The sequence below is a fragment of the Homo sapiens genome, chromosome X (genome assembly GCF_000001405.40).
Source record: "Homo sapiens chromosome X, GRCh38.p14 Primary Assembly".
Lineage (NCBI taxonomy): Eukaryota > Metazoa > Chordata > Mammalia > Primates > Hominidae > Homo > Homo sapiens.
The window spans coordinates 47,230,212-47,257,878 of record NC_000023.11 but is presented as its reverse complement, the minus strand read 5'-3'; the positions used below and the strand labels follow the sequence as shown (position 1 = coordinate 47,257,878).

The following is a 27,667-nucleotide window of genomic DNA, read 5'->3' as shown; positions in this document are numbered from 1 at the left end:
CACCATGCTGGCCAGGCTGGTCTCAAACTCCTGACCTTAACCGATCCGCCCACCTCAGCCTCCCAAAGTGCTCGGATTACAGGCGTGAGCCACCGCGCCCGGCCAGAATGTGCAACTTTTAAAAGGTGCAGTAAGAAAAACTTTAAAATCATATAGGTACCCATGTTGATATCAATTTTTGTCCGGTTGCTAAGGAAACATTTTTAATGATGAGAGCTGTGATGGCACACACAAAAAAGACTGTAAGCATTTCACAAAATGGATTACATTTTTTGGATATAAAGAATTATAAAAATCCAACAGTGTTAAAAGTAATAAATATATGTATATGGAGTTTTTGCTGTCTTTTAGTATCTATGATTAGAAACATATCAAGGCAAAAAGTTTGAATAAGTACTGAGCTAAGTAAGCCTCTATCTCAAGAAATGAAAAAGAAGAAGAGCAAAGTACATTTGTAAAAGTTGTGGGAAAGCACTTCTGCTTCTGGTCAAGATGGAGTAACAGGGACAAGACTTACTACCTGCTTCAAACAATAGATTTACACAAAATACATGCAATGACAGCTTTCAAAACAATAACATCAGAAAATGGAGGACAGTGGAAACAAATGATGTGAGCCTGTTAGCAGTGGCAAATCTGTCCAGGTCTACAGCAACCTCAATTCTTGCCTCCTCAGAAGAAAGAATTTGACTGGGCGTGGTGGCTCACACCTGTAATCCCAGCACTTTGGGAGGCTGAGGTGGGATGATCTCTTCAGCTCAGGAGTTTGAGACTGGCCGGGGCAATACAGTAAGACTTTGTTTCTACAAAAAATATTTTTAAAAAATAGCCAGGTGTGGTGGTGCACACCTGTGGTCCCAGATACTTGGGAGGCTGTGGTGGGAAGAACCCTTCAGCCCAGGAGATCAAGGCTGCAGTAAGCCATGATCATGCCACTGCACCCCAGCCTGGGCAACAGAGTGAGACTCTGTCTCAAAAAACAAAAAATACCAGCCGGGCGCAGTGGCTCACGTCTGTGATCCTAGCACTTTGGGAGGCCGAGTCGGGTGGATCACTTGAGGTCAGGAGTTCGTAACCAGCTTGGCCAACCTGGTGAAACCCCGTCTCTACTAAAAATACAAAAATTAGCCGGGCATAGTGGCAGGCGCCTGTAATCCCAGCTACTCGGGAGGCTGAGGCATAAGAATTGCTTCAACCTGGGAGACAGAGGTTGCAGTGAGCCCAGATCACACCACTGCACTCCAACCTGGGTGACAGAGTGAGACGCTGTGTCAAAAAAAAAAAAAAAAAAAAAAAAACCCAGAAAACAATGACATTCTTCACAGAAATAGAAAAAACAATCCTAAAATTTATATGGAATCACAAAAGACCCAGAACATCCAGTCTGTCCCTGGATCTAAGGAAAAAGGAAAATAAAAAAGAGAGAGAGAGAGAGAGGCTCCTAAAAGCCAAGAGATCTTGAGCAAAAAGAATAAAGTTGGCCGGGCACGGTGGCTCACGCCTATAATCCCAGCACTTTGAAAGGCCGAGGCAGGTGGATCACTTGAGATCAGGAGTTCGAGACCAGCCTGGCCAACAGGGTGAAACCCCATCTCTACTAAAAATACAAAAGCTGCGCATGTTGGAGTGCCCCTGTAGTCCCAGCTACCAGGGAGGCTGAGGCAGGAGGATCACTTGAACCCAGGGGACAGAGGTTGCAGTGAGCCGAGATTGTGCCACTACACTCCAGCCTGGGCGACAGAGTGAGACTCCGTCTCAAAAAAAAAGAAAAGAAAAAAAGAAGGGCAAAGAAACTGAATAGACATTTCTCAAAAGAAGACATATGAATGGTCAACAGGTATATGAGAAAAATGCTCAACATCACTAATCATCAGTGAAATACAAATCAAAACCACAATGAGATACCACCTCACACCTGGTAGAATGACTATTATCAGAAAGGCAAAAGATAACAAGTGTTGGTGAGGATATGGCATGAAGGGAACACTTGCAGGCTGTTGGTGGGAATGTAAATTAGTATAGCCATTATGGAAAAGTGTATGGAGGTTCCTCAAAAAGTTAACAATAGAACCACCATATGATCCAGCAAACCCACTACTGGGTATATATCCGAAGGATATGAAATCATGTTGAAGAGATATCTGCACTCCCATGCTTGCTGCAGCACTATTCACAACAGCCAAGAAAGAAAGAAAGAAAGAAACAATGAAATGCATCCCAGAACAAAAGCTCCAGGATACTTATAGGAATACAAAATATCCAGCAACCATAAGGTAAAATGCACAATGTCTGAGATCCAACCAAAGATTACCAGGAATGCCTTTGAAGGGAAAAAGGACCCATAATGAGGAGAATAATCAATCAAAACAGACTCAGAACCAACAAGGATGTTAGAATTAGCAGTGAAGGACATTAATACAATTATTATTATAACTTTATGTGTGATATTGTGATATAAGAGTAAGTATATATTTGGTCTTTGTTCCTGGTTCCTGGCACAGAGCTCTTAAAACTCTTACAATTTCCTGAATGGCGAGGTGAGAGGATCATCTTGTTGTTCATAACATGCCTCTTTCAATCATCCCTGAGTTTATGATCATCCCTGAGTTTATGCTAATGAGGTGACTCTTGGAGGGCCCCTAGATAGCTTCAAATAAGGGCTGTTTGCCAGCCCCACCCTGGGCCTCTGGGGAGGGGAGAGGGTCTGGAGATTGAGGTAATCATCCATCTCCAGCCAATGGCTTCATCAATCATGCCTACATGATGGAAAGTCCATAAAAACCCCTGAATGAAGGGTTTGGAGGGTTTCTGGGTTGGTAAACACATCAACATGCTGGGAGGGTGCCCCTTCCATATCTAGTCCTATACATCTCTTCCATTTAGCTGTCCCTGAGTCGTATCCTTTATAATAAACCAGTCATAGTAAATAATGTGCCTTCTTGAGTTCTGTGAGCCATTCTAACAAATTATCCAACCCGAGGAAGGGGTTGTGGGAACCCCTGATTTACAGCCGATCAATCAGAAGTATGGGAGGCCTAGGGTTTTCAATTGGTGTCTCAAGTGGAGGCAGTTATGTGGGACCAAGCCCTTAACTTGTGGGGTCTGACACCAATGCCAGGTAGTTAGTGTTAGAATTGAATTGAATTGTTGGACACCCAGTTGGCATCTGGAGAGTTGGCGAACTGGTTGTTGGTATGGAAAAAACCCACACATTTGGTGTCAGAAGTGTTCTGAGGAAAAACAATTCAGAGTATGCCATATGTTAAAAAAGTTAAATAGAGACATTGAGGATATAAAAAATACATTGAATGGAATTAATAGCACATTAGACATTGCAGAAGGAAATATTAGTTAACTTGAAAGCATAGCAATAAAAGCAATTGAAAACAAAACACACAGAGAAAAAAAACTCCAAAAATTCAAAAGAGCATCAATGAGCCACGGGACTTCAAGCAGTCTAATTTATGAGTAATTTGTATCCATGAAGGAAAATAGAGGAGAACTTCAGAAAAAAAAATTGTTTTTGAAGAAATACTGGACAAAATTTTTCCAAATTTGATGAACACCAGAAACCTACATATCCAGAAGGCTCAAACGACCTCAAACACATGAAGAAAATTACACCAAGGTATACCATAACGGAATTGCTCAAAACCAGCGCTAAAGAGAAAATCTTAAATGCAGCCAGTGGGAAAAATGGGACATGTTATATACATAGGAACAAAGAGAAGGATGACATCAGATTTCTCACTTGAAACAATGCAAACAAGAAGACTGGGAAGCGGCCGGGCGTAGTGGCTCACGCCTGTAATCCCAGCACTTTGGGAGGCCGAGGCAGGTGGATCACCTGAGGTCAGAAGTTTGAGACCAGCCTGGCCAACATGATGAAACTCCGTGTCTACTAAAAATACAAAAATTAGCCAGGTATGGTGGCATACACCTGTAGTCCAAGCTACTCAGGAGGCTGAGACAGGAGAATTGCTTAAACCCAGGAGGTGGAGGCTGCAGTGAGCCGAGATCACACCACTGCTGTCCAGCCTGGGTGAGACAGAGCAAGACTCCATCTCAAAAACAAAAACAAAAAATCTTCAAAGTAATAAAAAATTTTTTAAAAACTGTCAACCTAAAATTCTATACTCATGAAAATATCTTTAAAAAAATAAGGTGAGTCAGGGCACAGTAGCTTTTTGCAGAGACCCTCCTCTCTACAAAAAATTGTATTTCTTTTTTTTTCTTTTTTCTTTTTTCTTTTTTTTGAGACAGAGTCTCACTCTGTCGCCAGGCTGGAGTGCAGTGGCGCAATCTCAGCTCACCGCAACCTCCGACTCCCAGGTTCAAGCGATTCTCCTGCCTCAGCCTCCTGAGTAGCTGAGATTACAGGTATGTGCCACCAAGCCTGGCTAATTTTGTATTTTTAGTAGAGATGGGGTTTCTCCATGTTGGTCAGGCTGGTCTCAAACTCCCAACCTCAGGTGATCCACCCACCTCAGCCTCCCAAAGTGCTGGGATTACAGGTGTGAGCCACCGCGCCTGGCCAAAAAATTGTATTTCATGTGTACAGAATCCCAGTGCTTTGGGAGGCCGAGGTGGAAAGAGTGCTTGAGCCCAGGAGTTCAAGGCTGCAGTGAGCTATGATTTTGCCACTGCACTCCAGCCTGGACAACAGAGTGAGACCCTGTCTCACAATAAAAAGAAAAAGAAAAGAAAAAAGAAAATGGACTGTTTCAATAAAAATAACAGTGTATTTTGGGGTTTATAACATACGTAAAAGTAAAATGCATGATACAACAGCATAAAGGCTGAGCAAGAAGAAATGGAAGTACACTAAACATCTTATACTGTATGCAAAGTGGTATATATCACTTGAAGGTAGACTATGATAAGTTAGAGGTGAATAATATAAACCCTAAAGCAATCGCTAAAATAAAACCAACAGTTGGCTGGGCGTGGTGGCCCATGCCTGCAACCCCAGCACTTGGGGAAGCTGAGGCAGGAGGCTCACTTGAGCCCAGAAGTTTGAGACCAGCCCTGGCAACATAGCGAGACACCATTTCTACAAAAAATAAAAAAAAAAATAGCTGGGCATGGTGGCACACGCCTGTAGTCCTAGCTACTTGGGGGGCTGAACTGGGAAGATCGCTTGAGCCCAGGAAGTCAAGGCTGCAGTGAGCCATGATTGCACCACTGGACTCCAGCCTAGGCAACAGAGTAAAACCCCGTCTCTAAAAATTAAACAAGAAACCCAACTTTTACACTGTTGGCAGGACTGTAAACTAGTTCAACCATTGTGGAAGTCAGTGTGGCGATTCCTCAGGGATTTAGAACTAGAAATACCATTTGACCCAGCCATCCCATTATTGGGTATATACCCAAATGACTATAAAACATGCTGCTATAAAGACACATGCACACGTATGTTTACTGCGGCACTATTCACAATAGCAAAGACTTGGAACCAATCCAAATGTCCAACAATGATAGACTGGATTAAGAAAATGTGGCACATATACACCATGGAATACTATGCAGCCATAAAGAATGATGAGTTCATGTCCTTTGTAGGGACATGGATGAAGCTGGAAACCATCATTCTCAGCAAACTATCGCAAGAACAAAAAACCAAACACCACATATTCTCACTCATAGGTGGGACTTGAACAATGAGAACACATGGACACAGGAAGGGGAACATCACACTCTGGGGACTGTTGTGGGGTGGGGGGAGGGGGGAGGGATAGCATTGGGAGATATACCTAATGCTAAATGACGAGTTAATGGGTGCAGCGCACCAGCATGTCACATGTATACATATGTAACTAACCTGCACATTGTGCACATGTACCCTAAAACTTAAAGTATAATAATAATAATTTTTTTTAAAAAAAAGAAACCCAAACCAAAAATCTAAGAGTTATAGTTGATAAGCCAAGAAAAGATAAAGCGGGCTAGGCATAGTGGAGTGGCTCAGGCCTATAATTCCAGCCACTTGAGAGGCTAAGGCAGGGAAGATCCCTTGAGCCCAGGAGTTTGAGACCAGGCTGGGCAACATAGTGAGATCCTATACCACCCCCCCAAAAAAAAGAAAAGAAAAGAAAAAGAAAAGATAAAAATCCATGTTGTGTGTGGAAAAAAAAAAAAACCCATAACACAGAAGAGGAGTGATGTCAGCCAGGCATGGTGGCTCACGCCTGTAATCCCGGCACTTTGGGAGGCCAAGGCAGGTGGATCATGAGGTCAAGAGATTGAGATCATCCTGGCCAACATGGTGAAACCCCGTCTCTATTAAAAATACAAAAAAATTAGGCCGGGCATGGTGGCTCACGCCTGTAATCCTAGCACTTTGGGAGGCTGAGGCGGGTGGATCACGAGGTCAGGAGTTTGAGACCAGCCTGGCCAAGATGGTGAAACCCTGTCTCTACTAAAAATACAAAAATTAGCCGGTTGTCGTGGCGCGTGCCTGTAATCCCAGCTACTCAGGAGGCTGAGGCAGGAGAATCGCTTGAACCTGGGAGGTGGAGGTTGCAGTGAGCCAAGATCATGCCATTGCACTCCAGCCTGGGCGACAGAGCAAGACTCCATCTCCAAAAAAAAAAAAAAAAAAAAAAAAAAATACAAAAAATTAGCTGGGCATGGTGGCACGCACCTGTAGTCCCAGCTACTCAGGAGGCTGAGGCAGGAGAATGGCATGAACCCAGGAGGCAGAGCTTGCAGTGAGCCAAGATGGCACCATTGCACCCCAGCCTGGGCAATAGAGTGAGACTCCATCTCAAAAAAAAGAGTGATGTCACCAAAATGGAAGACTAGGAAGCTCCAGGCTCTGGCTCCTTAACAGAAACATCAAAAAGCAAACAGAATTGTTAGAGCTAACTGTGTCAGAGTGCTGGAAAATAGTTGATATGGTTTGGACTTGTGTCCCCGCTCAACTCTCATATAAATTGCAATCCCCATTGTTGGAGAAGTGGCCTGGTAGGTGACTGGATCATGGGGGCAGATTTCTCCCTTGCTCTTCTCACCATAGTGAGTTCTCATGACATCTGGTTGTTTAAAAGTGTGTGGCACCTCCCCACTTCACTCTCTTCCTCCTGCTTCAGGGCAGGTAAGACGTGCCTGCTTCCCCTTCACCTTCCACTGTGATTGTAAGTTTCCTAAGACCTCTCAGCCATACTTCCTGTACAGCCTGCAGAACCATGAGCCTTTTTTATAAATTACCCAGTCTCGGGTATTTCTTTATAAATTACCCAGTCTCAGGTATTTCTTTACAGCAGTGCGAGAACAGACAAATACAATGGTCAAAAGTTTACAGCAGGCCGAGCGCGGTGGCTCACGCCTGTAATCCCAGCACTTTGGGAGGCCCAGGTGGGCGGATCACGAGGTCAGGAGATCGAGACCATCCTGGCTAACATGGTGAAACCCCGTCTCTACTGAAAATACAAAAAATTATCCAGGCGTGGTTGCAGGCGCCTGTAGTCCCAGCTACTCGGGAGGCTGAGCCATGAGAAAGGCCTGAACCCGGGAGGCGGAGCTTGCAGTGAGCGGAGATCGCGCCACTGCACTGCAGCCTAGGCAACAGAGCGAGCCCCATCTCAAAAAAAAAAAAAAAAAAAAAAAGTTTACAGCAACTGTCCAACCAAGAAAAAGCCATCTTCAAAATGGGAGTATTGTGGCATTTTTACTTGCCCTTCCCCCACTGTCTGCCTGGCACGATGGCAGTCTTGATCAGTCTCAAAGCAGCTGCCTCATTCCCAGTTCCCTCCCTTGAACTGGAGGGAGCAGAGATCTTATCTGCAAATTGTTGTGTACGTGCTATTTGTCCACCTGTTCTCTATTTCTTTATTCTTGCCTTCTTCTGGATTATTATTCTTCATTCTATTCTCCCCGTTTGTTTGAAACTTACTATTTTTCTGTTCTTTAGTATGATATCCTTTTTTTCTTTGAGATGGAGTCTTGCTCTGTTGCCCAGGCTGGAGTGCAGTGGCGCAATCTCAGCTCACTGCAACCTCCGCCTCCTGGGTTCAAGCAATTCTCCTGCCTCAGCCTCCCAAGTGGCTGGGATTACAGGCATGTGCCACCATGCCTGGGTAATTTTTGTATTTTTAGTAGAGATGGGGTTTCGCCATGCTGGCCAGGCTGGTCTCGAACTCCTGACCTCAGGTGATCCACCCACCTCGGCCTCCCAAAGTGCTGGGATTACAGTCATGAGCCACTGCGCCTGGCCCTTACAGCCCATTCTCACCCAGCTCTTTATGCCTGCTTCCTTATCTGCAAAATGGGGTGATTGTAGTGCTTCAGTCATATGGTCTTCACGAGCCTTCGATGACAGCTTCTGAGTTCCTGGATCCAGTCATACCTGAAACTAGTATTTCTGTTCTTACTTTTGCTAAGTCAGTTTGAGCTGGGCTCCTCACAGCAACTGCCTTGACTTCTGCCTGTGTCAGCAGAGTGACTGGGAGGTTTGCGGGTGGCGATGCTGGGGCTGAGTGACCCTCACAGTGGGTCTGCCCAGACCCAGTGCAAAGGCAGAAGGCTGGGGGGAGTGTTGAGGCCCTGGCCATGAGAATGGCCTCTCAGCTGCCACCGATCAGGATTCCCCTCACCCATCAGTGTGAAGGGTTGGATGGCTTATTTATGTCCAAATTCCTGCGGCAGGTGTTCAGTGTCGTCTGGGGTGAGGTTGGAGGGAACCTGCCTGGTGTGGGAGCTGGGGTCATGATGGGAGAGGGGGCTGACTACAGGGGCCACACACAGACAGCACATTTGTCCTGGCAGGTTGGCTGGTCTGCCAAATGCATGTACCATCTCCAAAGGAGGTCTCAGGGGGACAAAATCTTCTCAGAGGACACTACTGGGGGTCTGTGAGGTGGTCTGGGGAATAGCATCCTTTTTTTGAGATGGGGTCTTGCTCTGTGGCCCAGACTGGAGTGCAGTGGCACGATCATAGATCACTGCAACCTCAACATCCAGGGCCCAAGTGATCCTCCTGCCTTGGCCTCCCAAAGTGTTGAGATAACAGGTGGCACCTGGCCTGAGAGGAGTATTTTTATGTCCCCAAACCACAAATTTGCCCACATGGATGCATCCGTCCCACGTGCTCCATTTCCACATTGCCTGTAGGGCAGCTCATGTCTGCAGATTGAGTAGCAGTCCTGGGTCCAGACAAGCCAAGCACCCACTCCAGGGACCGACTCGGGTAGCACATGAGGTATACTGACCTCCTGACAAGCCCTGAGCAATTCTGTGACCTCTGTACCTCAGTATCCCCATCCGAAACTGGAGATGACAACTCTTGCATGAGATTGTTGTGAGGATTACGTATCAATATTTGGAAAATATTTTGGAAAAAACTGGGCATGCCATTGGTGCTTGGAATCGTGCCTGGCACACAGAGGGTGCTTTCAAAGCACTTAGAACAGCAGTACCCAGCCCACAGCTGGTGCTCACTAACCACTCAGAGCTGCACCCATCACACATCTGGCCTTTGATAAGAACACAGAACACAGGCACAAAACTGGTGCTTAGTTAAGTCCATGGAGGAAAAAACCACACTGCTGAGTGGGGAGCAGACTGGTGCTTTATATATACACACACACAGCAGAAGGTACAGGGCCTCAATAAGAAAATACACTCTGTGTTCAGGTGAACCCCCATCACCACCCACGCAGAACACTCTGGGCTGAGGAGAGGGAAGGGCACGACCATAAATAAAGACTAGAAGGGAGGGTCACTGCTGGAAGGGCAAACACAGGCGGGGCGCGCACTGCTAGGAGGAGACACGACCTGTTCTTTCCCGGGAGAGAGCGATGCAGCGGCACAGGAGAACAGTAGCCACGACTAAGCCTGCAATGCCTGGCGGGGGCACCTAACACGAATAAGAGAAGCGGGGCGGACACGAGAAGCGAGATTGCAGAGAGGGCTTTTTTTTTTTTTTTTCTGTGGCAGGACCCAGGGCTCTCAATTAACATCCATGAACTCAGAGCTGGGTGGGGAGCTGCAGGCAGGGGAGGCTGGGGCGCCAGATGAGCCGGCCGGGGACAGCAGGCGTCGCGCCACGTCCTGGCGTTGGTAGAAGAGGACATAGGCTGCCTTGGACTGTGGGGAGAGGACAGGAGTCAGTGTGGATTGTGGGGGTGGGGAGGTGGAATCAGAAAGGAAGAAGGGGAGGAGGTAGGATGGAAGTCACACCTCGATCTGATTCTCATTGACAGGGGAGACGCTGTTGTCATCAAAGTAGTGCCACTGGCCGCTGTCCTTGTTGCAGGCAAATGTTGTGTCTGAAAGGGAAGGAGAGTTATCCTCGCCTACCCTTCCTGCCTCTCAGAAGTGTCCAGATTCACTCTTGTCACTCCTCCCACCACGATAACCTCACCACTGGCTCACATCCCTAGTCACTCACTGGGAAGGTCCTGATCGCCCCCCTGCCCAGAACCCCCAGGGCAGGCCCCACCCACAGCCTGGCACATACAGTGTCCATCACGCATGCCCCCATAATGGTTGGAAACCGCGATGAGGTCATATTTGTACAGCTCCGGATTCGACTCATTCTGTGGCTGGATGACAAACTCAGAGAAGTCCAGGTCCCTGTGGGTGGGGAGAGGGTTAATACTGGTACACCCCCTCCTTTCCCTGCCTTCCCCCAGCCATCCTCTCCCTGGCCCCTGACCGGATAGGAAACTCCACGAGGGTGTCCAGCTTCTCTCGGGAGAACTTGGTGTAGGAAAAGCGTTTCAGGTGGATGATGAGAATCTCCGGCAGCATCCACAGGTCCAGCTTCTTGGTTGCCAGCTGGTGCTGCTTGCAGGAAGGGCAGTACCTACAGACAGAGCCCGAGTCAGCAAACGGACTTTTTCTTTTTTTTTTTTTTGAGACAGAGAATCGCTCTGTTGCCCAGGCTGGAGTACAGTGGCGCGATCTCGGATCACTGCAGCCTCCACCTCCTGGGTTCAAGCGATTCTCCTGCCTCAGCCTCCCGAGTAGCTGGAATTACAGGCATGCACCACCATGCCCTGCTAATTTGTGTATTTTTAATAGAGACAGGGTTTCACCATGTTGGCCAGGCTGGCCTTGAATTCCTGACCTCAGGTGATCCACCCGTGTCGGCCTCCCAAGGTACTCGGATGACAGGCATGAGCCACAATGCCCAGCCAAAACAGACTTTTTCTGAGCACCTACTGTGCGCCCTTTGTACTGCCTCTCACGTGCCATGTCTGGCTCACAGAAACACTGCTCTTACTATTAGCCCATCTAGTATTCTAGTTTGCTCTGTTCCTGTTAAAATCCTTTCACTCACTCGTCAAGTGCTTACTATCTTTTGTATATGTGCTCATACTATTTTTTGTATTTTTGTTTGATTTCTGTTCCATGAGATGCTAGTCTTATTTTAGAGCCCACCTCTATCCTTCTAGTTTCCTCTCTTCGTATTTTAGTCATTCATTCACTCCCCAGTATTTATTGATTGCTTGTTTAACCCTTTGGAACTATTTTGTATTTCTGTTCCATTTCTGCTCCACGGACATGCTGCTCTTATTTCTGAGACTAGGGAGTGTGGTTTTGGTTCTCTTTTTGTTTATTCTGCAAGTGTCTACTGAGCATCAACCGAACACTCAACACTATTATAAACAGGTAGAAGCAACACACAGTGAACTTAAGTCTTCACCCTCGAGGAGTTGACTCTAACGAAGATGACAAATAACACAAAAGTGGATACAGGACATCACATCAAGTGGCATCGCTGAGCTAGAAAGTAATGCTTGGCTAGGAAGAAAAGAGCAGAGAGGGGATGGAGAGGGATGGTGGGGAAGGGTGATTTTTAACAGGGTAGTCAGAGGAGGTCTCTCTGATGAGGTCACATTTGATCGGAGACCTGAGCATCGTAAGGAGTGAAGTCCTGTAGATCACTGGGAACAACATTCCTGGAGAAGGAACAGCACAGGCCAAGGCTCTGGGGTAGGAGTCTGCTCAGGAGATTGGTGGCCAGGTTGGCAAGAAGGGTTTGAGTGTGGAGGAGGGAGGAGGAAGGTATACTTAAAGAGCTAAATATAGGCCAGGTGTGGTGGCTCACGCCTGTAATCCCAGCACTTTGGAAGGCCAAGGCGGGTGGATCATCTTTAGTCAGGAGTTCGAGACCAGCCTGGCCAACGTGGCAAAACCTGTTTCTACTAAAAATATAAAAATTAGCCAGGCATGGTAGTGGGTGCCTATAATCCCAGCTACTCAGGAGACTTAGGCAGGAGAACAGCTTGATCCTGGGAGGCAGAGGTTGCACTGAGCCGAGATTGTACCACTGCACTTCAGCCTGGGTTGACAGAGCCAGACTCTGTCTCAAAAAAAAAAAAAAAAAGCTAAATATAGTAGTTCCATCCAATGAAACCCCCACACACAGGCCCCGCTCTGGCCCCTCACCAGGGGTTTTCCTTCTCCAGGGTCTCCACAGTGGTGAAGAGCTCAATGCACTCCTGCAGCCGCACGGGAGCCTTCTTCATCACGTACCCGACGCAGTCATGCTTCACGTAGCCCTAGGATTGGGTGAACAGACAACCAGATGGCCGGCTGTGAGGACAGATGGAGAAATGGGGAGTGGGGGCCCAGCGGGGGAGACACACACTGAGTGGGTCAGAGCACCGACTTTGAAGCTAGGAACCTCAGGCCCTGGAGCTCTCAGTAGGTGTTCAGGCCCCAAGGCCAAGCTTGACCTGGATCTCTTGGCTCTGTTCCCAGCTAGAGGAGTTGTGGGGAGGATGTACGAAGAGTTGAGGGGCAAGAGCTGGAAGTACCCCCCATCCCTGGGATCTCATTTACCTCAGCCTCTACCTCGTCATAGTAACGCTTCTTCATCTCTGGCTCCCAGTCGATAGCAATGTACGGCTGGGCTGGGGGTGAGGGAGAGGTGGTCATGGATCCTGCTGCCAGGAAATCTCCCCTCCAGCCTCCCCAGCCCTCGCTGATAGCCAAAGGAAATACCATGGACTTCTTCAGGGGAGGTTGTGCGGTCGCTGGTCCCATTGGAGTTCACCGTCTGCAGGGTGAACAGCTGCTTGCGTCGTCGCCTTGGGGGCCACTGAGATGTGCCAAGGCAATTGTCCAGGAGGAACGGGCACCTGTTCGTGACTCCAGAGCTGGGCCCAGCCTGCTCTGGCTCAGGGTCTCGGAGGCTGCCCCCAGTTGAGGGCCCAGGGACGTCATCTTTATCCTCCTCGTCATCTTCTAGGACAGGAGGATGTCAGAGATGGGAAGGTGTGAGCCTCAAGTGCTAAGCTGCAATGCACACCTAGACGAACCCTACGTGGGTCAGACCTAACCCAGAGCCCCCGCCCACTGACTGTTAGCCCCCTCACCTTTCTCATCCCCATCGTCCTCATCATCTGAGTTGGGTTTGGTCACGTAGCGTCTGCAACAGAGCAGAGGAGACTCCCAAGACGGGTACAAGGACAGTGGGGATAGAGCCCGGGATTTTACTTAAGATAATGGGAAGCCATTGGTAGATCCACATGTAAACCGTTCTGAATCTGAGGTGTGAGAGGGCTGAAGGGGTGACGCGTAAATGCATGAAGAGGCCAAGGCTGTCAGCAGTGGCCTGAGAATGAAGGAACTTGTGTCCCAGTCAGAGGTGTGGAGTGTGATTAGCTGGGCGTGGTGGCGCGCGGCTGTAATTGCAGCTATTTGGGAGGCTGAGGCAGGAGAATCGCTTGAATCCGGGAGATGGAGGTTGCAGTGAGCCAAGATCATGTCACTACACTCCAGCCTGGGCAACAGAGCAAGACTCCATCTCAAAAAAAAAAAAAAAAAAAGGTATGGAGCGTGGACTTTTACTCTAATAAGCCACTGCTAGACAAGACACATACCGGCTGTAACTTCCCATCAGGGAAAGCCTCTGGGGAATGACTTTTGAATGCAAAATGAGGGGGGAGAATTCTGATAACACAATGCTTTGTGTGCCACAGTAAAGACTCTAGATTTTAGGCAAAATGAAAATTTGTCAGCAAAAAGACAAAAAAACCAAGACTCTCCCAGGAGGGACAACAGTCTCCAGGAGAGACAACTGAAGACAAGATGAAGTTGTCTGTTTTGTGCATCTTGTTCACCTCTGTATCCCTAGCACCCAAGACAGGCAGTAGCAAAGCCAGAGGTCTAGAGAAAGAAAAAACCCTACAAGTTCTTCTATGGCCATGTTAAGTTTGGACTGTCTTTTGTTTGTTACAGGGGAGGTGTCAAATAAGCAGCTAAACACCCAAGTCGGAGTTCAGACCCCTCCGCCCCCCACCCCCGGGGAAGAGGACACTTACGAGAGCCGGTACATCAGGACGTTATACAGGCCCTCCCAGGTGAAGCGGTCCCGGGGCACTGATACCAGGAGGGGGTGTCCAAAAAGCATCAGGCCGTAGTAGGAGTTGTTGTAGTCACGGGCAGGGGTGCGCTCCCGCAGGTAGACAGGAACCACGATGTCCTCTCTTGAGCCCTCAATGGCCTCAATGCGACCTGACACCTCATAGCTGTGGGGGGTGGACAGCAGGCACACCTGATCAGGGCCCCCAGAGACTCCCTGACTCTGCCCTGGCTGCCCCACCCACTCATCCTCACAGCCTGAAGGCATTTTTATTTTTATTTATTTATTTATTTATTTTTGAGACGGAGTCTCGCTCTGTTGCCCAGGCTGCAGTGCAGTGGCACGATCTCGGCTCACTGCAAGCTCCGCCTCCCGGGTTCATGCCATTCTCCTGCCTCAGCCTCCCGAGTAGCTGGGACTACAGGCACCTGCCACCACGCCCGGCTAATTTTTTGTATTTTTAGTAGAGACGGGGTTTCACCGTGTTAGCCAGGATGGTCTCCATCTCCTGACCTCGTGATCTGCCTGCTTCAGCCTCCCAAAGTGCTGGGATTACAGGCGTGAGCCACCGCGCCCGGCTTTATTTATTTTTGAGATGGAGTTTTGCCCTGTCGCCCAGACTGGAGTGCAGTGGCGTGATCTTGGCTCACTTGAACCTCTCGGGTTCAAGTGATTCTCCTGCCTCAGCCTCCCAAGGCATGTGGCTGAAGCTCTGCGCAGGGCAGGTGCCCAGTGAACGAGGCAGAGGCAGGGAAGAGAGAAGGTGGTTAAGGCAGGACCATACAAAAGGAAGTGGACCAAGTTCCTGAGGAACCACCACCTCCCTGCCATCCCCACTCACACGAAGATATCATCACGGTCCAAGATGCTGCTCAGAGGCTCCTCTAGCTGATAGAGCTTATAGAAGCGGTGACTGAAGACATCAGCCACCATCATCTAGGAATGGGATATGGAGAGGGGACTGTTAGTCTGCACGGCCTCCCAGGCCCTTCTGCCTCCTTGCCCTGGAATCCCATCCAGCCTCCTTCTGCAGTCTCACCCTCTCTGGCGAGATGCCCGTGTGTTTGGACAGAGCCACACATAGATCCGAGATCTTGCCTTTCTTGGGGACCACGAGCCGGTGCTAAGGGAAAAACGGTATCCACAAAAGACCAAAAGGGCTTGTGGTGAGTTAATGCAAGAAGCCTTGAGCTATGGCAGCTAATCAAACTCTATGTGTCCATCATCATCTCCCCAGGCCCCCACTGCCCCACACCTGCTCTGGCTTGCGGCGCGGATCCATGGGGATAAAGAAGACCTCCAAGACCCTCTTGTGGCTGATAGGCAGTGGAACACTGAGGTAGCAGAAGGGGTCGAAGGTCACAGATACATTGCCACAATCGGGGCACACCAGCGTGGACTTGAAGAGGCCGTGGAAAGTGTCCACGATCACAGAATCGTTCCGCCGTTTGTGGTTTTGCCATGCCTCCTGTGCCACCTCCTGTTGATAGTGTCATGGTGGGTGGTGGGGCTTGCCCAGGGTAAGAGGAAACCATGGCTTGGGGTGCATTCAAATGGGGTGAAGCGGAAGGCCACTGCTAAAGTCCAGAGGCAGAGCTCCAGCTAGGGATACACAGAGACTATGTTCACGGTCAAGACTGGGGGTCATTTAGGGCAGGAGACTGCGCTGGGGTTTACTCTGGGTTGACTGTGGGGGCAGATATGGTATTGCAACTAAGGTTAAGAGTAAGGCTGGAGTTGAGGTCAGGTAGAGAAACTTAACAGAAAATGGTGGCGTGTTAGATACCCCAGGGAGGCCAGAAAATCCCCGAGGCAGAGGCCTTGGTGATGTTAATTGGACTGCAAATGCGGGGGCAGCCTACCTGATCCGGTCGCCCAGCAGCATCGCACAGCTCCACATACTCCTTCTTCTTCACCCGATTAAGGTCCTCATGCAGCCCGTCCAGGAGGAATGACAGCAGCTCCTGAGAGTCATGCTGCTGGTAGCCCAGAAATTGGGATGCAAAATGGCCAACCTTGTTCTAAGAAGATGGGCAGGGTCATCAGAGAGAGAGGGAGTTAGGAGAGCCAAGAGACGTAGGGGGTCGGGGGTGCCCAGGGTTGAGTCACACCTTGAACACATGTGGCACAATGGAGCGGTGGTGGCCAGACCACGCCTGCTTCACCAGGTCTGCATAGGCCTCTGCGATCTCACCCTTCATGCCCAGTGGGTTGCGGAAGTTGAGCTCCTCCAGGTAGCAGTTGTTGAGGAAGTACTCGGTGAGCTGTGGCACATTGCTGAGGCACTGCAGAGGCCAGAGACCAGGTGAATGAGGCAGAGGGGAGACAGAAGGTTCAAAGTGAGGATACACAAAAAGAAGCCAGGAGGAAAGAGAGAGGAAAACAAGAGAGAAGGGGAAGGGAGGAGAGAGAGGAGCAGGAGAGTAGGGGAGAGAAGGCATTAGGATTTCACGAGAAGGAAGAACGTGGGAACAGGGAAGAGAAGAGGGAAAATGAGGGCAAGCTGAGAGAAGAGGCTGATAGTTCAGGAATGAACGTGGGCGTGCCACTTCAGACTTGTGGGGCCTCAGCTTTCATCCTGACCCCTTGCCCTGTAGTCCCCTCAGGACCCCAGCTCTGTCCCCAATCCTCAGCTCTTGAAGCCCAACCACGTGGCTGTGCCAGACACAACTATAATGGCCCAACCTGCAGGGCCGAGTTCATGAAGCACGTGTTGCCCAGATTGGTGAGGCCACAGATGCCTGGCTGACCCTTGAAGTCCTCATCCTCTTCCGACATGTTGTTGTTCCTGGGGTTAGATGAGAAACTGTCAGCTGAGGGCCTGCTGCATGGGGGTGCAATGTGCTCATGGGCTAAATCATTTTGCCTACTGTGGGACGCCCCCGCTCTGGACCAGATACCCCAAGGGCTCACATGACATGCAGCTGTGCGCTGGGCCAAGTGCCATCTTTCTTGCGGGTCTCCATGATGATCAACTGGGTTGGAGAAAGAGAAAGAAGGAAAGGTATTAATGGAGGACATTATGGGTACCTAGCCTTCATTTCCCCCGAGTACTGCCAGGTGAGTCTATCTGCCAGTCCACCTGAACAGAAAAGCCCTCCCCACCCTTACCTGCCCAGTCTCAAGGGCCGCATCGAGAACCGTGATGTGTGTGTCATACAACCTATCCAAAGAGCCTTCTGAGTTCTTGGCCCAAAGCCGAGTGTCTTCCTGGGGCTCCACCAGAAACCGCTCCCGAGCTGTGCGCAATACTAGGCCTGTGCGGGGTGATGGAGTACATTCAAGATCTTTGTGAGACCCAAAATGATCAATCCATCTGGGCATACCTGACTCATCCCTACGGACCTCACATGCTTGGCCAATACCTGTGTCCTCAATCAGTCTCCAAATGACTGGCCCACACTCCAGACTGGAGATCTCCAGCAAATATCCTCTGCCACACCACGTAAGCCACTAGAATGTAGCTCACATACCCTCAGGGCTCTAGTAGATCCCCTCAGTGCCTCCACCCAACTTAGCCAATGCCTTCTGGGTCTTCCAAAGTCTGACCAGTGCCTTCTCAGTCAGCTTCAGCTTAACCCTATGCAACCTCAAGTCACTGAGTTGGGACTAGTAGCTAGGAACACCAACCCATTGCGTGACCCTTAGACTCACCAATAGAATCGGTATGGCTGAACTGAACAGTGTGAGATTTGCCCAAATCATTGTGCCGGACAAGCAGCAGTTCTACTGGGTACACTTCGACCTTCTGGATGTTGGGCAGCTCTATGACCTGTAAGAGTAGAGGGGTGCAGACACAGGTGTACTCACACAGACACAGCGCTGTGACCTCTCAAATGAGAGGAGCACACACTCTGCCTTACAAACATAGCATACAAACACACATATACAATGGTCTGTAAAGAGAGCCACACAGGGGAACACACACAGCAGACAAAGATACCTGTATGATGAGCTAGGAGGGGGAAGAGAGCAGACATATGTGTACCTACCCAGCATACATGGATCTGTACCCATGCTGGGCCTACAAGGCTTTCTTACTACGCACTCCCCGCCATGCACCCTCCCCATCCATTATACCTTGCGTTCAATGGGTGGCTGGCCATGCTCTAGACCATACCAGCTGACCAGGTAATGCCAAGCAGCTGCTGGGAGCAGCACATAATCCTCGCCTTCCACCAGTCCCTCCTTGAGGCGCCAGTTTATCTCATCTGTGGGGCGGGGGTGGAGGTGGCAGAGGAAGAATCAACAAAGGAAACTGACGAATGACTCTGGCCACCCCACCAGTGACCTAGCACACAGAATGGGCTTATGATCATCTGTAGGGACGGAAGGGACAAGAACTCCAGGGCTAGGGTGAGAAGGAGGCAAAGGCCTTGTACCTTGAAAGAGTGTGGCATTGTTGATGCAGCCAGGGAAGGTGCTGGAGTCCTGGTCCCCTCCCTGCACGTATGCCTCCCACTGCTTATACCAGTGCTTCTCCACAAGGAACCTGGGGCCCAGACAGGTAACAAGGGTGTTACATGGGTAGCTGAGGGTTAGCTATACAACTTCCCATGCCCAACAGACTGAAAGTATTGACACATTATAATTTAAGATGAAAAGTTTCAGCATCATATAAAAATAAATTCGAAGCAAAATTTATTCAGTGAAACTCAGATTTGTATGTTAGATAACTTCTTAGTATTAAAAAAGAAATCTGATTAAAAACAGAAAATGTGGTTAACAATGGCAAACAAACCAACAAAAAATCCATACTTATAGTGCTAGGAAACATGAGGTTTTATTATAGAATAAAAGATGATTCATTTGAATTAGTCTGTGGGATAACCCAGTTAAGTTAGGCTCAAGATATGTGCCATCTGCAGCTAATTTTATAAGGCTTTAGCCATTCATTATGTGTTTGTTTCTAAAGGATCTATCAATGGAAGCATAATTCTTCAGCTAAGAACTAGATTTGATAAATGGTGAAAAATCTGCTTTTAAAAGGAGCAAAGAATTTAAAATGCTAAAAAGAATCATAAGGTTTTCCTTCAAAAACTGCATACTGAAAAAAAAAAAAAAAAAAAAAAAAGACCGGGCACAGTGGCTCACGCCAGTAATCCCAGCACTTTGGGAGGTCAAGACGGGTGGATCACCTGAGGTCAGGAGTTCAAGACCAGCCTGGCTGACATGGTGAAACCGTCTCTACTAAAAAATACAACAAATTAGCCAGGTGTGCTGGCACGTGCCTGTAATCCCAGCTACTTGGGAGGCAGAGGCATGAGAATCACTTGAACCCTGGAGGCAGAGGTTGCAGTGAGCCGAGACTGCATCACTGCACTCCAGCCTGTGCGACAGAGTGACTCCATCTCAAAAAAAAAAAAAAAAAAAAGAACTGCATATTGCTATTGTTCATCATTTTTTAATTTAGAATTTACTTTGGCTTTATAGTAAATTCCTGAGCTTATGGTTCTCTTAAAAACTGTGATAAAAACATGTAACATAAAACTTACCATCAAGCATTTTTCAGTATACAGTTCAACTAGCTCTCTTTTAAAGGTGAAACTTATATGTACTACAAGGATAACCATTTAGAACTATATTGAAATCTACCTTTGTGAGAAATCCTGAAGTTTGGAAAATACTTGACATATAATAAGTGCTAAATGAATTTTAGCTGTCATTGTTCTGACAGCTTGGACTTCAGGACTTGGACATAAAAGCTCACAGACATAAACCTCCTCCTGCCTAAACACACACACACACACACACACACACACACACACACACACATACACACACACCTGTTCTGCTGTGGCATTTCTGACACATAAAAGGCTATCCCAAATACTGAGCAGCCTCAAATAAATGCTTTTTAAAAAATAACCAAATTTGATGAAATGCACATAACATTATATTGGCTGGTTTTCAAGCAATTTAACCTCATTATTATTATTATCATTTTTTGAGACAGAGTCTTGCTCTGTCGCCCAGGCTGGAGTGCAGTGGCACAATCTCAGCTCACTGCGACCTTTGCCTGCCGGGTTCAAGCGATTCTCCCAATTTAACCTCATCAATGTGATTCTTTAAAATGTCAACTTTCCCTTGTTCATGAAAGGATCAGAGAGGTGGGAGGATGGAGGGACAGACAAATCTTGGAATAGTCACAAGTCACCTAGATAGGCAAACATTTCTGTGGGTTTTTTGTTGGTTTTGTTTTTTTGCTGCACTGACCCCCACAGACCCTGCCCCATATCACTCACACCAGGGAAACAAACCCTTCTGTGCCGGTGGCTCAATGCTCAGACCCAACCCTGCACCCCACACACCACCATCCACCCTTTGTGGCTTTACTTGCCTCCATAGCCAGTCTATGAAGTTAATTTGTTCAGTAAAGCTATAGTTAACAGTACCTTCCAATGCAAAGGTAGGCACTGCTCAACTTCTTTTTAAGAGCAGATTTTGAACAAAAAATAACATTAAAATCACGCTGTAGAGTGGTAAGCAAAACTTCCAGACCTGGTCACAGGCTGAACTTCTATAGATTTCATAGAGGACTGACATTTTACATAATTTTTCACAGAAAATTATTACCATATTGCTTCAAGTCAAAGACACTTTAAAAAAATCATTGTTAACATCTCTGAAATCAGGATGTCTCACAATCTCTGTCAGGCCAGGTGGCAGTCACAACAAAGGTGTCATGGTCTGTATCAATAACACCCAAATTATTATATTTACAGCTGGGTATTCAATTTTTTGGATGCTATCATAAATGGTATCATAAATTTTAATTTTCTAGTTTCTTGCTGCCAGTATATACAGGTACAACTGATCTTGCTAAAGTCACTTAGGTTTATTCGTGCTTCCTCAAATTTGTTGAAATGATATGAAATATGTGCTTATGGAAAAAAGTTGCTAAACAATTCTTTATTTTCTGTCTTCTAGTTTTCTCTTGTGTCTGATTTGTGTTTGAAGATGGTTCATCCCACAAAAGGAAAAAGTGAAAATTTCCAAGGAGGCTATATTATTACAGATTTGAATTTGCCTTAAAATACAAGCTTCTCCCAGAAATTAAATCAGTTGTGATGACCAAATTAATTAACTACCCTCACCCAAATCTGCCAGCTGACAAAAGACAGAAGGTGCAAATATTAATACTGATACAAGATATATGATTTGGGGTTAGTCCATGACTTCAAAATGCTTTATAAACACATATATCCTGGCCACTTAAGCAAACCCCTGTAAAATGGAAAATGGACAGCAATAAAGAACCTTGAGATGCTTTGCTCTTACTAGAGAAGCATTAACAAAGTGGAGTTTAGCAAAAATGCTTCATGATAATACCCATGACAGCAGAGACAAACCGGCTTCAACACTGAACCAACACTGGTGTGGTAATTTTTTTAATGAGGTGAAATTCACATAACATAACATTAACCATCTTAAAGTGAACAATTCAGCGGCATTTAGAACATTCACAATGTTGTACAACCACAACCTCTCCCTAGTTCCAAAATATTTCATCATCCCAAAAGAAAACCCAGTACTGGTGGGGTAATTTTAAAGCGTATTATCAAGGATGACAGGATGTCATGTCCTACCAGTGACACAATCACAAGGCTACAAAGGTAGGAAGAGGCAAGGATCAAAGCCTCAAGGCCCTTTTGAACATCTTCAAATGAGTTACAAAACACTGTGGTTATTTTGTTTATTCTCAGGATGAAATGAGGCTTTTTCTTGCTGGAAAAGTGTGACGTAATGGCAGAAAAACACGGCTTGGGTTTGTATTCCCGATTTGGAAAATCTCAACTCATCTCCCCAGTAACAGAGATACACATTTCACTGGTGTGGTTATTAAAGAACTCTGTAGTGAGTAAACCTCACTCGAAAAAGCCCTAAGGTTAGATGTGTTTGAGGAACAGCAAGAGTCCAATATGGCCGGCCTGGATGGAGACAGGGAGGGAGTGCGTAATCAGAGGAGAGATATGGGAAGACATCAGAATGCAAGCAGGAGACCAGCTTCATAAAGGCTTGCAATTCATTGTAAGGATTTTAGCATCTACGCTGCAAGAGATGGGAAGCTGTTAAGAGTATTTTGAGGAATGGCTGGACATGATACATGTTTTAAAAATAATTACTGCATATGTAAAGAGGAAAATGGTACCTTTACAGTTGAGAAAGCTGGCCAACACTACCATAACCAAGTGATCAAGGTTAACATCACCAATGATGCCATGTGGATACCATGTATTACCCGATGCGAAGATAAGGGCTCACAGTATGCATCCAGTAGAATTTTATATATATGTATTCCATATATGTATAAAGTGAAAGCTTAGACAATACATACCGCTTAGGGATGCATACAGCTGTGGTAAAACATTAAAGAAAAGGAAGAGACTGTTAACTCAAAATTCAGGATAACAGTTTCCCATGGAGCAAGGAGGGGAATTTCCATCTGGGAGGGGCACAGAAGGATTTCTTAAGACAGTGTTCTGAATCTTAACATGGATGGTGAATTCACACGTTTTTATTTATTATTTAATTTTTAAACTTTGAAATAGATTGAGAAAAATGGCAAAAATAATACAGAGAATCCCCATATGTCCTTCATCCAGATTCTCCAAATCTAATATTTTACTCATTTGCTCAATCGTTGTTTCTTTACATGCATTTTTTGGTATTTTTATTTATTTTAAAATGGACAAAAATTGCATATATTTAGAGTGTACAGCATGAAGTTTTGACTTATGTATACATTGTGGAATGACTAAGTCAAGGCAATTAACACATCCATTACGTCACATACTTATTTTTTGGGGGGTGGTAGAACATGTAAAATCTTCTCTCAGTAATTTTCAAGTATACAATGAATTTATTAACTATAGTTGTACAATAGATCTGAACTTATTTTTCTTGTCTAACTGAAATGTTGTATCCTTTGACCAACATCTCCCCAATTTTATTTCCCCTCGCCATATATAAATTTATATATGCTAATTTTTCAGGCATTTGAGAATAAACTGCTTACACGATGCGTTCTTATCCCTAAATTTTTCAGTATTTCCTATAAACAAGGATATTATTTTTCACAGCCACAATGATCACAATTATTAGTAGTACTAGTATCTACCCACTTTAATAAAATTTCACCGACGTTTCCATTGCCTTTTACAGTAAAAGAGACAAAAATAATCTTATGATAAAAAATTGATTTTTAAAATAATTTTTTTTTCTGTTCCAGGATCCAATCGAGGATCACATGTTGCATTTAGTTATCATGACTCGTTAAATTGCATTAATTCCTTCAATTTGGAACAGTTCTTCAGCCTTTGTCTTTCATGATCCTGACATTTTTGAAGAGTGTAGGCCGTTTATTTTAACAGGATGTCCGTCAATCTGGGCTGCGTAAATGTTTTATATAATCTTTTTAAGTCTTACGTATTTCACAATTAAAAAACGAGATGCAACTCGGCGAGAAATAAAATGAACTCAGAAGCAGTAAATTTCAAGAAGGACTGTTTAGCAAGAAATCAGTAAAACAAGCCGATTTATCAAAATTCTATTTTTTAAAAAAACGACTTTTTCTTGATTCTAAAAACAAAACAGTACCAACACAGAAAACCAATTAAACATGGAAGGCCCCTCCGGTGCTAATCACCTGCACGTTCTCTCGACTCGGGAAGGCTTCCGCCAGAATCAAAAACCACGGCGCGTCATAAACTTTGCTTATTCGCAGGCGCCATTTTCTGCCTCATAGGCACCACCTCCCCTCCACTGTCGTCCCTCGGCCTCAGAGCACGCCCCTCAGCTCACGTCACCAACCTAACCTCGTTCCCAGGCTCCAGGCTCCTCCCCCCTCCCCCACGGAGGTCCCCGCTCCCTCCCTCGGACCGTTCGGCTCCATCCCGCTCTTCTGCTGACGTCACAAAGCTCGCCTCGTTCCCAGCCGCCCCGGAGCAATCGGAAACCGCTCCTCGCCCCCAAAAGTTGCATTACGCAGCGCAGGCCGCGCCCCCGCCTTATGTAGCAGAACCCACCTTCTTCCCAGGTTCCTACGCAGTTTCACTACGCAGGCCCGGCCCCACCTCCAGGACCGAAACTGGTCTCATCACAACAAACCCCATTTTGTTCTCAGGCGTCAGACTGCACCACACAGGCCCCGCCCCTTTTCCAGACGTTGCGATTCATTCAAAGGCACTTCCCCGCCCCTTTAGCCCGCTGTCCCGCCGGCCACTCCCCCGCCCCCGCACCCCGCAGCAGCTTTCCCGCGGCCCTCGGCCGCCGAATCCCCAGCGGTTGTCAATGCCCCCACCGTTCCCTCTGCCGAGGCTCCACCGCAGCCCAGCCTCACCAGCTTTCGCCGGCCCGCAGTGGACGTTCTCGCCCACTCTCGCCGTTTTCTATCTGGCGCCACTGGCTGTCCAGGCCTGGCAGCTCCTCGTGCTGTGGCTCTCTATCCTCAGTCACCGCCGCTGCCGCCGCCACAGCCGCCGCAGCAGCAGCTGGATTTGCTGCGACCGTCGCCATCGCCGTCCGTTCTCTTCTACAGCCAACGCAGCTGTGCGAGATTGGAAGACGCCCCTCAACAGCCACTTCCGGATTCTGGTCCCGGAAACGGAAGCAGAGCCCCCCAAACAGTCGCGGGGCTACTGCCATATTGGAAATGGCCCCGTGCACAGACGCGTCGAAGGGCTAGGTGGGGTAAAATCTTCAGTGGGAACCAAGAAAGACAAAAGTGCCTTGTGGGGTCCTAACGCCCTGTAGACTTAGGGCACAGGTGGCATGGAAAGTGGAGGCTGAGGTTCCCGAGGTGGGCTAGGACTCCTACCCTGGGAGCAGTGTTTTTGTTAGCCTGATCAGAATGCCCTTCATTGTACCATCAAAACCCAATGCAAAAGAGGTTTCCACCTCCAGAGACCCACCGAGGCCTGCGGGCTGTTGTTTCTCTTCCTGAACTAGATTTATTCACTAGACAAGGTGTTGAAGACAAGTTAGCCCCAGGCCCTATGTTTGTTGGAGTCATAGCAATCATAACTAAACTAGCTGTCCGCCCAGTTTAAGTGCTTTATTGGACTAAAATAGTAGCCTCAGGCAGCAGGTACTGTCCTTGTCACCCATGGGTAACAATGGGGACGCTGAGTACCAGAAACGTCCCTCAGCTAATTAGTGGTGGAGCTGCAGTTTAGACTTGAGAAATCTGGTTTCAGAGCTGTGACCTTAAACACCAGGCCAAACATTCTCCAACCGTGTGGTCCCAGTGGTCCCAGCCTGTCTACCGGTCCAAAAATCCTCTTGGGGTTTCACAAAATGAAAACTATTTTCACAATACTTTTTCACTCTCATTCTCTCAGGGGTGTACAGTGTGATTATCCAGAGGCTTCTGAATCCAGAGGCTATATGACATAAGCAAAAACTCTTTTGAATATCTTAAACTTTTAAGAACATAAAGGAATCCCGAGACCCAAAGTTTGAGAACCCTTGGACTAGGCCAGGGTCTCTCAACCTCAGCACTGTCATTTCTTTGTTGTGGGCATTGCAGGATATGTAGCAGCATCCCTGGCCTCTACCTACTAGATACCAAGTAGTACCCCTCAGGACAACCAAGTATCTCCAGACATTACCAAATGTCCTTTGGGGGAAAAATGTCTCTGGTTGAGAACCACTGCTCTAGGCTATGCTATTCTTTCCTCTGCTGGGGCTGCCAGCCCCGTTGATGATGACTTTAATTTCGAACCTCCCTTCCCCCTCACAATTTCATAATTTACCTATTTTCAGTTAATCTCTGCGGGGCAGGGATTGTGTCTTTATTACTGTGATTCCAGCCCCCAGCCCAGACCTGGCATAGATGAGGGGTCACAAACTCAGTTGTGTAAGCTCTGGGTGAGGAAAGGGAGCAGGCCTTTCACTTAAGGGTCCCCAAAGAAAGTGGCATTTGAGTTGAGTCAGACACATGGCAGATAGCTGCTCTTCAAGCCCAGTTGAATCTTGTCAGATTCTCTGAATTGATTCTCCCCATTGCCCCTCTGCAGACTCCCCCTCCCCATTTATCTGGGCAGCCAGGTAAATCCAAGAGACCTCCTTTCCCAGCCCTAGACCGTTTTTTTTTTTCCACCTTCCAGAGGCCAACCTCTGCCCACACCAGTGACCCTACCACTTCCCAGAGCAGTTGGGTGAGTTCTAGACCTTTTAAATCCAGCCTGGCAATCCTGTCCCCCTTTGCAAGGCCCTCCTTTTCCCATCCTCCCTTGCTGCCAGAAGTGGCCATGTCATCTGATTCTAGCCAAGAAATGGCACAGGAAGTCTGCTGAGGAGCTTGTGGAAGTTCCAGCCGTTAAAAGAACACAGACAGGTAAGGAAGGTGTTCTGTCTTCCCTGCTTGCTTTTCCATCTCTGGGGACATGGCAGTCATCATGGCACCATGAGGCTGCAAGCTGAAACATCACTAAAGTGCTTAGAAAGACACGGTAGAGGCTGGGCTTGGTGGCTCACACCTGTAATCACAGCACTTTGGGAAGCCGAGGTGGGTGGATCACTTGAGGTCAGGAGTTCGAGACTAACCTGGTCAATATGGTGAAACCCCATCTTTACTAAAAATAAAAAATTAGGTGGGCGTGGTTGTGCACGCCTGTAATCCCAGCTACTCAGGAGGCTGAGGCAGGAAAATCGCTTGAACCCAGGAGGCAAAGGTTGCAGTGAGCCAAGATTGTGCCGCCACATTCCAGCCTGGGCGACAGAGACTCTGTCTCAAAAAACAAACACACACAGTAGAGTGATTAGAAGTTCATGGGCCCCCACCACTGGGCTTTAGTAAACAGCCACTTAATTAGGGTTGCCATTACTTGCAGTATTTGCCTGGCCCTGCTCACCCCCTCTTCTGCTTAGAAAACAATCCTTGGCTTTGCCCAAGATGGTGGGACTGGGGCTGGAACTCACAGGACAAAGAAAATAAGTTTCAATTATCCTCATATCTGAGGGCAAACCCCAGGTTGTGTCATTGATCCCTGGCCTCTTGCAAACTCTCTCACCCATGCCCATGGTTTCTGTTACTTCCTGGACACTAATAATTGAAATTTCCAGGTCCATCTATGGCCCCACTGCTTAATTTGATCCATGTATTAAAGGATTTCTCTACCTACTCAGTGGTCCAAAATCTACCCCCTACCGTCCTGAACATTCCCTCCTCTTCATGGTTTCCTAGTCAGATGGCCATACTGGGCCTTTGCCTCATCTTCCCATCCATGGTTCTATTGGGCCGTCCAGTGTCTTTCAAACATCGTCTCTCCACTTCCCTGCCTCCACCCTCTTATCAGGCTTCCTCATATTCCTGGGCAAATCTAACTCCCCTTTCTGCTTCTCAAC

The 27,667-nt window shown here is 47.3% G+C and overlaps 1 protein-coding gene across 1 annotated transcript, besides 4 other annotated features; it reads right to left on the bottom strand.

Moving 5' to 3' along the window:
• On the bottom strand, positions 9,551 to 24,870 carry USP11 (ubiquitin specific peptidase 11). Its single transcript, NM_001371072.1, has 21 exons — positions 24,660 to 24,870; positions 18,700 to 18,809; positions 18,398 to 18,528; positions 17,972 to 18,089; positions 17,429 to 17,574; positions 17,231 to 17,292; positions 17,003 to 17,105; positions 16,429 to 16,602; positions 16,180 to 16,338; positions 15,573 to 15,797; positions 15,357 to 15,440; positions 15,159 to 15,253; positions 14,277 to 14,483; positions 13,329 to 13,381; positions 12,955 to 13,197; positions 12,793 to 12,863; positions 12,397 to 12,509; positions 10,658 to 10,807; positions 10,460 to 10,575; positions 10,180 to 10,268; positions 9,551 to 10,086 (listed from the first exon to the last, which is right to left on the bottom strand). The coding sequence occupies exons 1-21, from the start codon at positions 24,833 to 24,835 to the stop codon at positions 9,949 to 9,951; spliced, it is 2,763 nt and encodes a 920-aa protein (NP_001358001.1). The 5' UTR covers positions 24,836 to 24,870; the 3' UTR covers positions 9,551 to 9,948.
• Positions 23,932 to 24,515: an enhancer, noted in NCBI's record as "NANOG-H3K27ac-H3K4me1 hESC enhancer chrX:47092763-47093346 (GRCh37/hg19 assembly coordinates)". NCBI's record gives its function as "activates a minimal SCP1, AML or CMV promoter by ChIP-STARR-seq in primed H9 embryonic stem cells {active_cell/tissue: H9 hESC(primed)}" and the evidence as "EXISTENCE:reporter gene assay evidence [ECO:0000049][PMID:30033119]".
• Positions 23,932 to 25,215: a biological region, named in NCBI's record as "CRISPRi-FlowFISH-validated HDAC6 regulatory element 1". NCBI's record gives its function as "regulatory_interactions: HDAC6".
• Positions 23,993 to 25,215: a transcriptional cis regulatory region, noted in NCBI's record as "promoter|chrX:47092063-47093285 region (GRCh37/hg19 assembly coordinates) targeted for CRISPR interference". NCBI's record gives its function as "positively regulates HDAC6 gene expression in K562 cells {active_cell/tissue: K562}" and the evidence as "EXISTENCE:mutant phenotype evidence [ECO:0000015][PMID:31784727]".
• Positions 24,941 to 24,990: an enhancer, noted in NCBI's record as "active region_29588". NCBI's record gives its function as "activates an Ori minimal core promoter by ATAC-STARR-seq in GM12878 lymphoblastoid cells {active_cell/tissue: GM12878}" and the evidence as "EXISTENCE:reporter gene assay evidence [ECO:0000049][PMID:35858748]".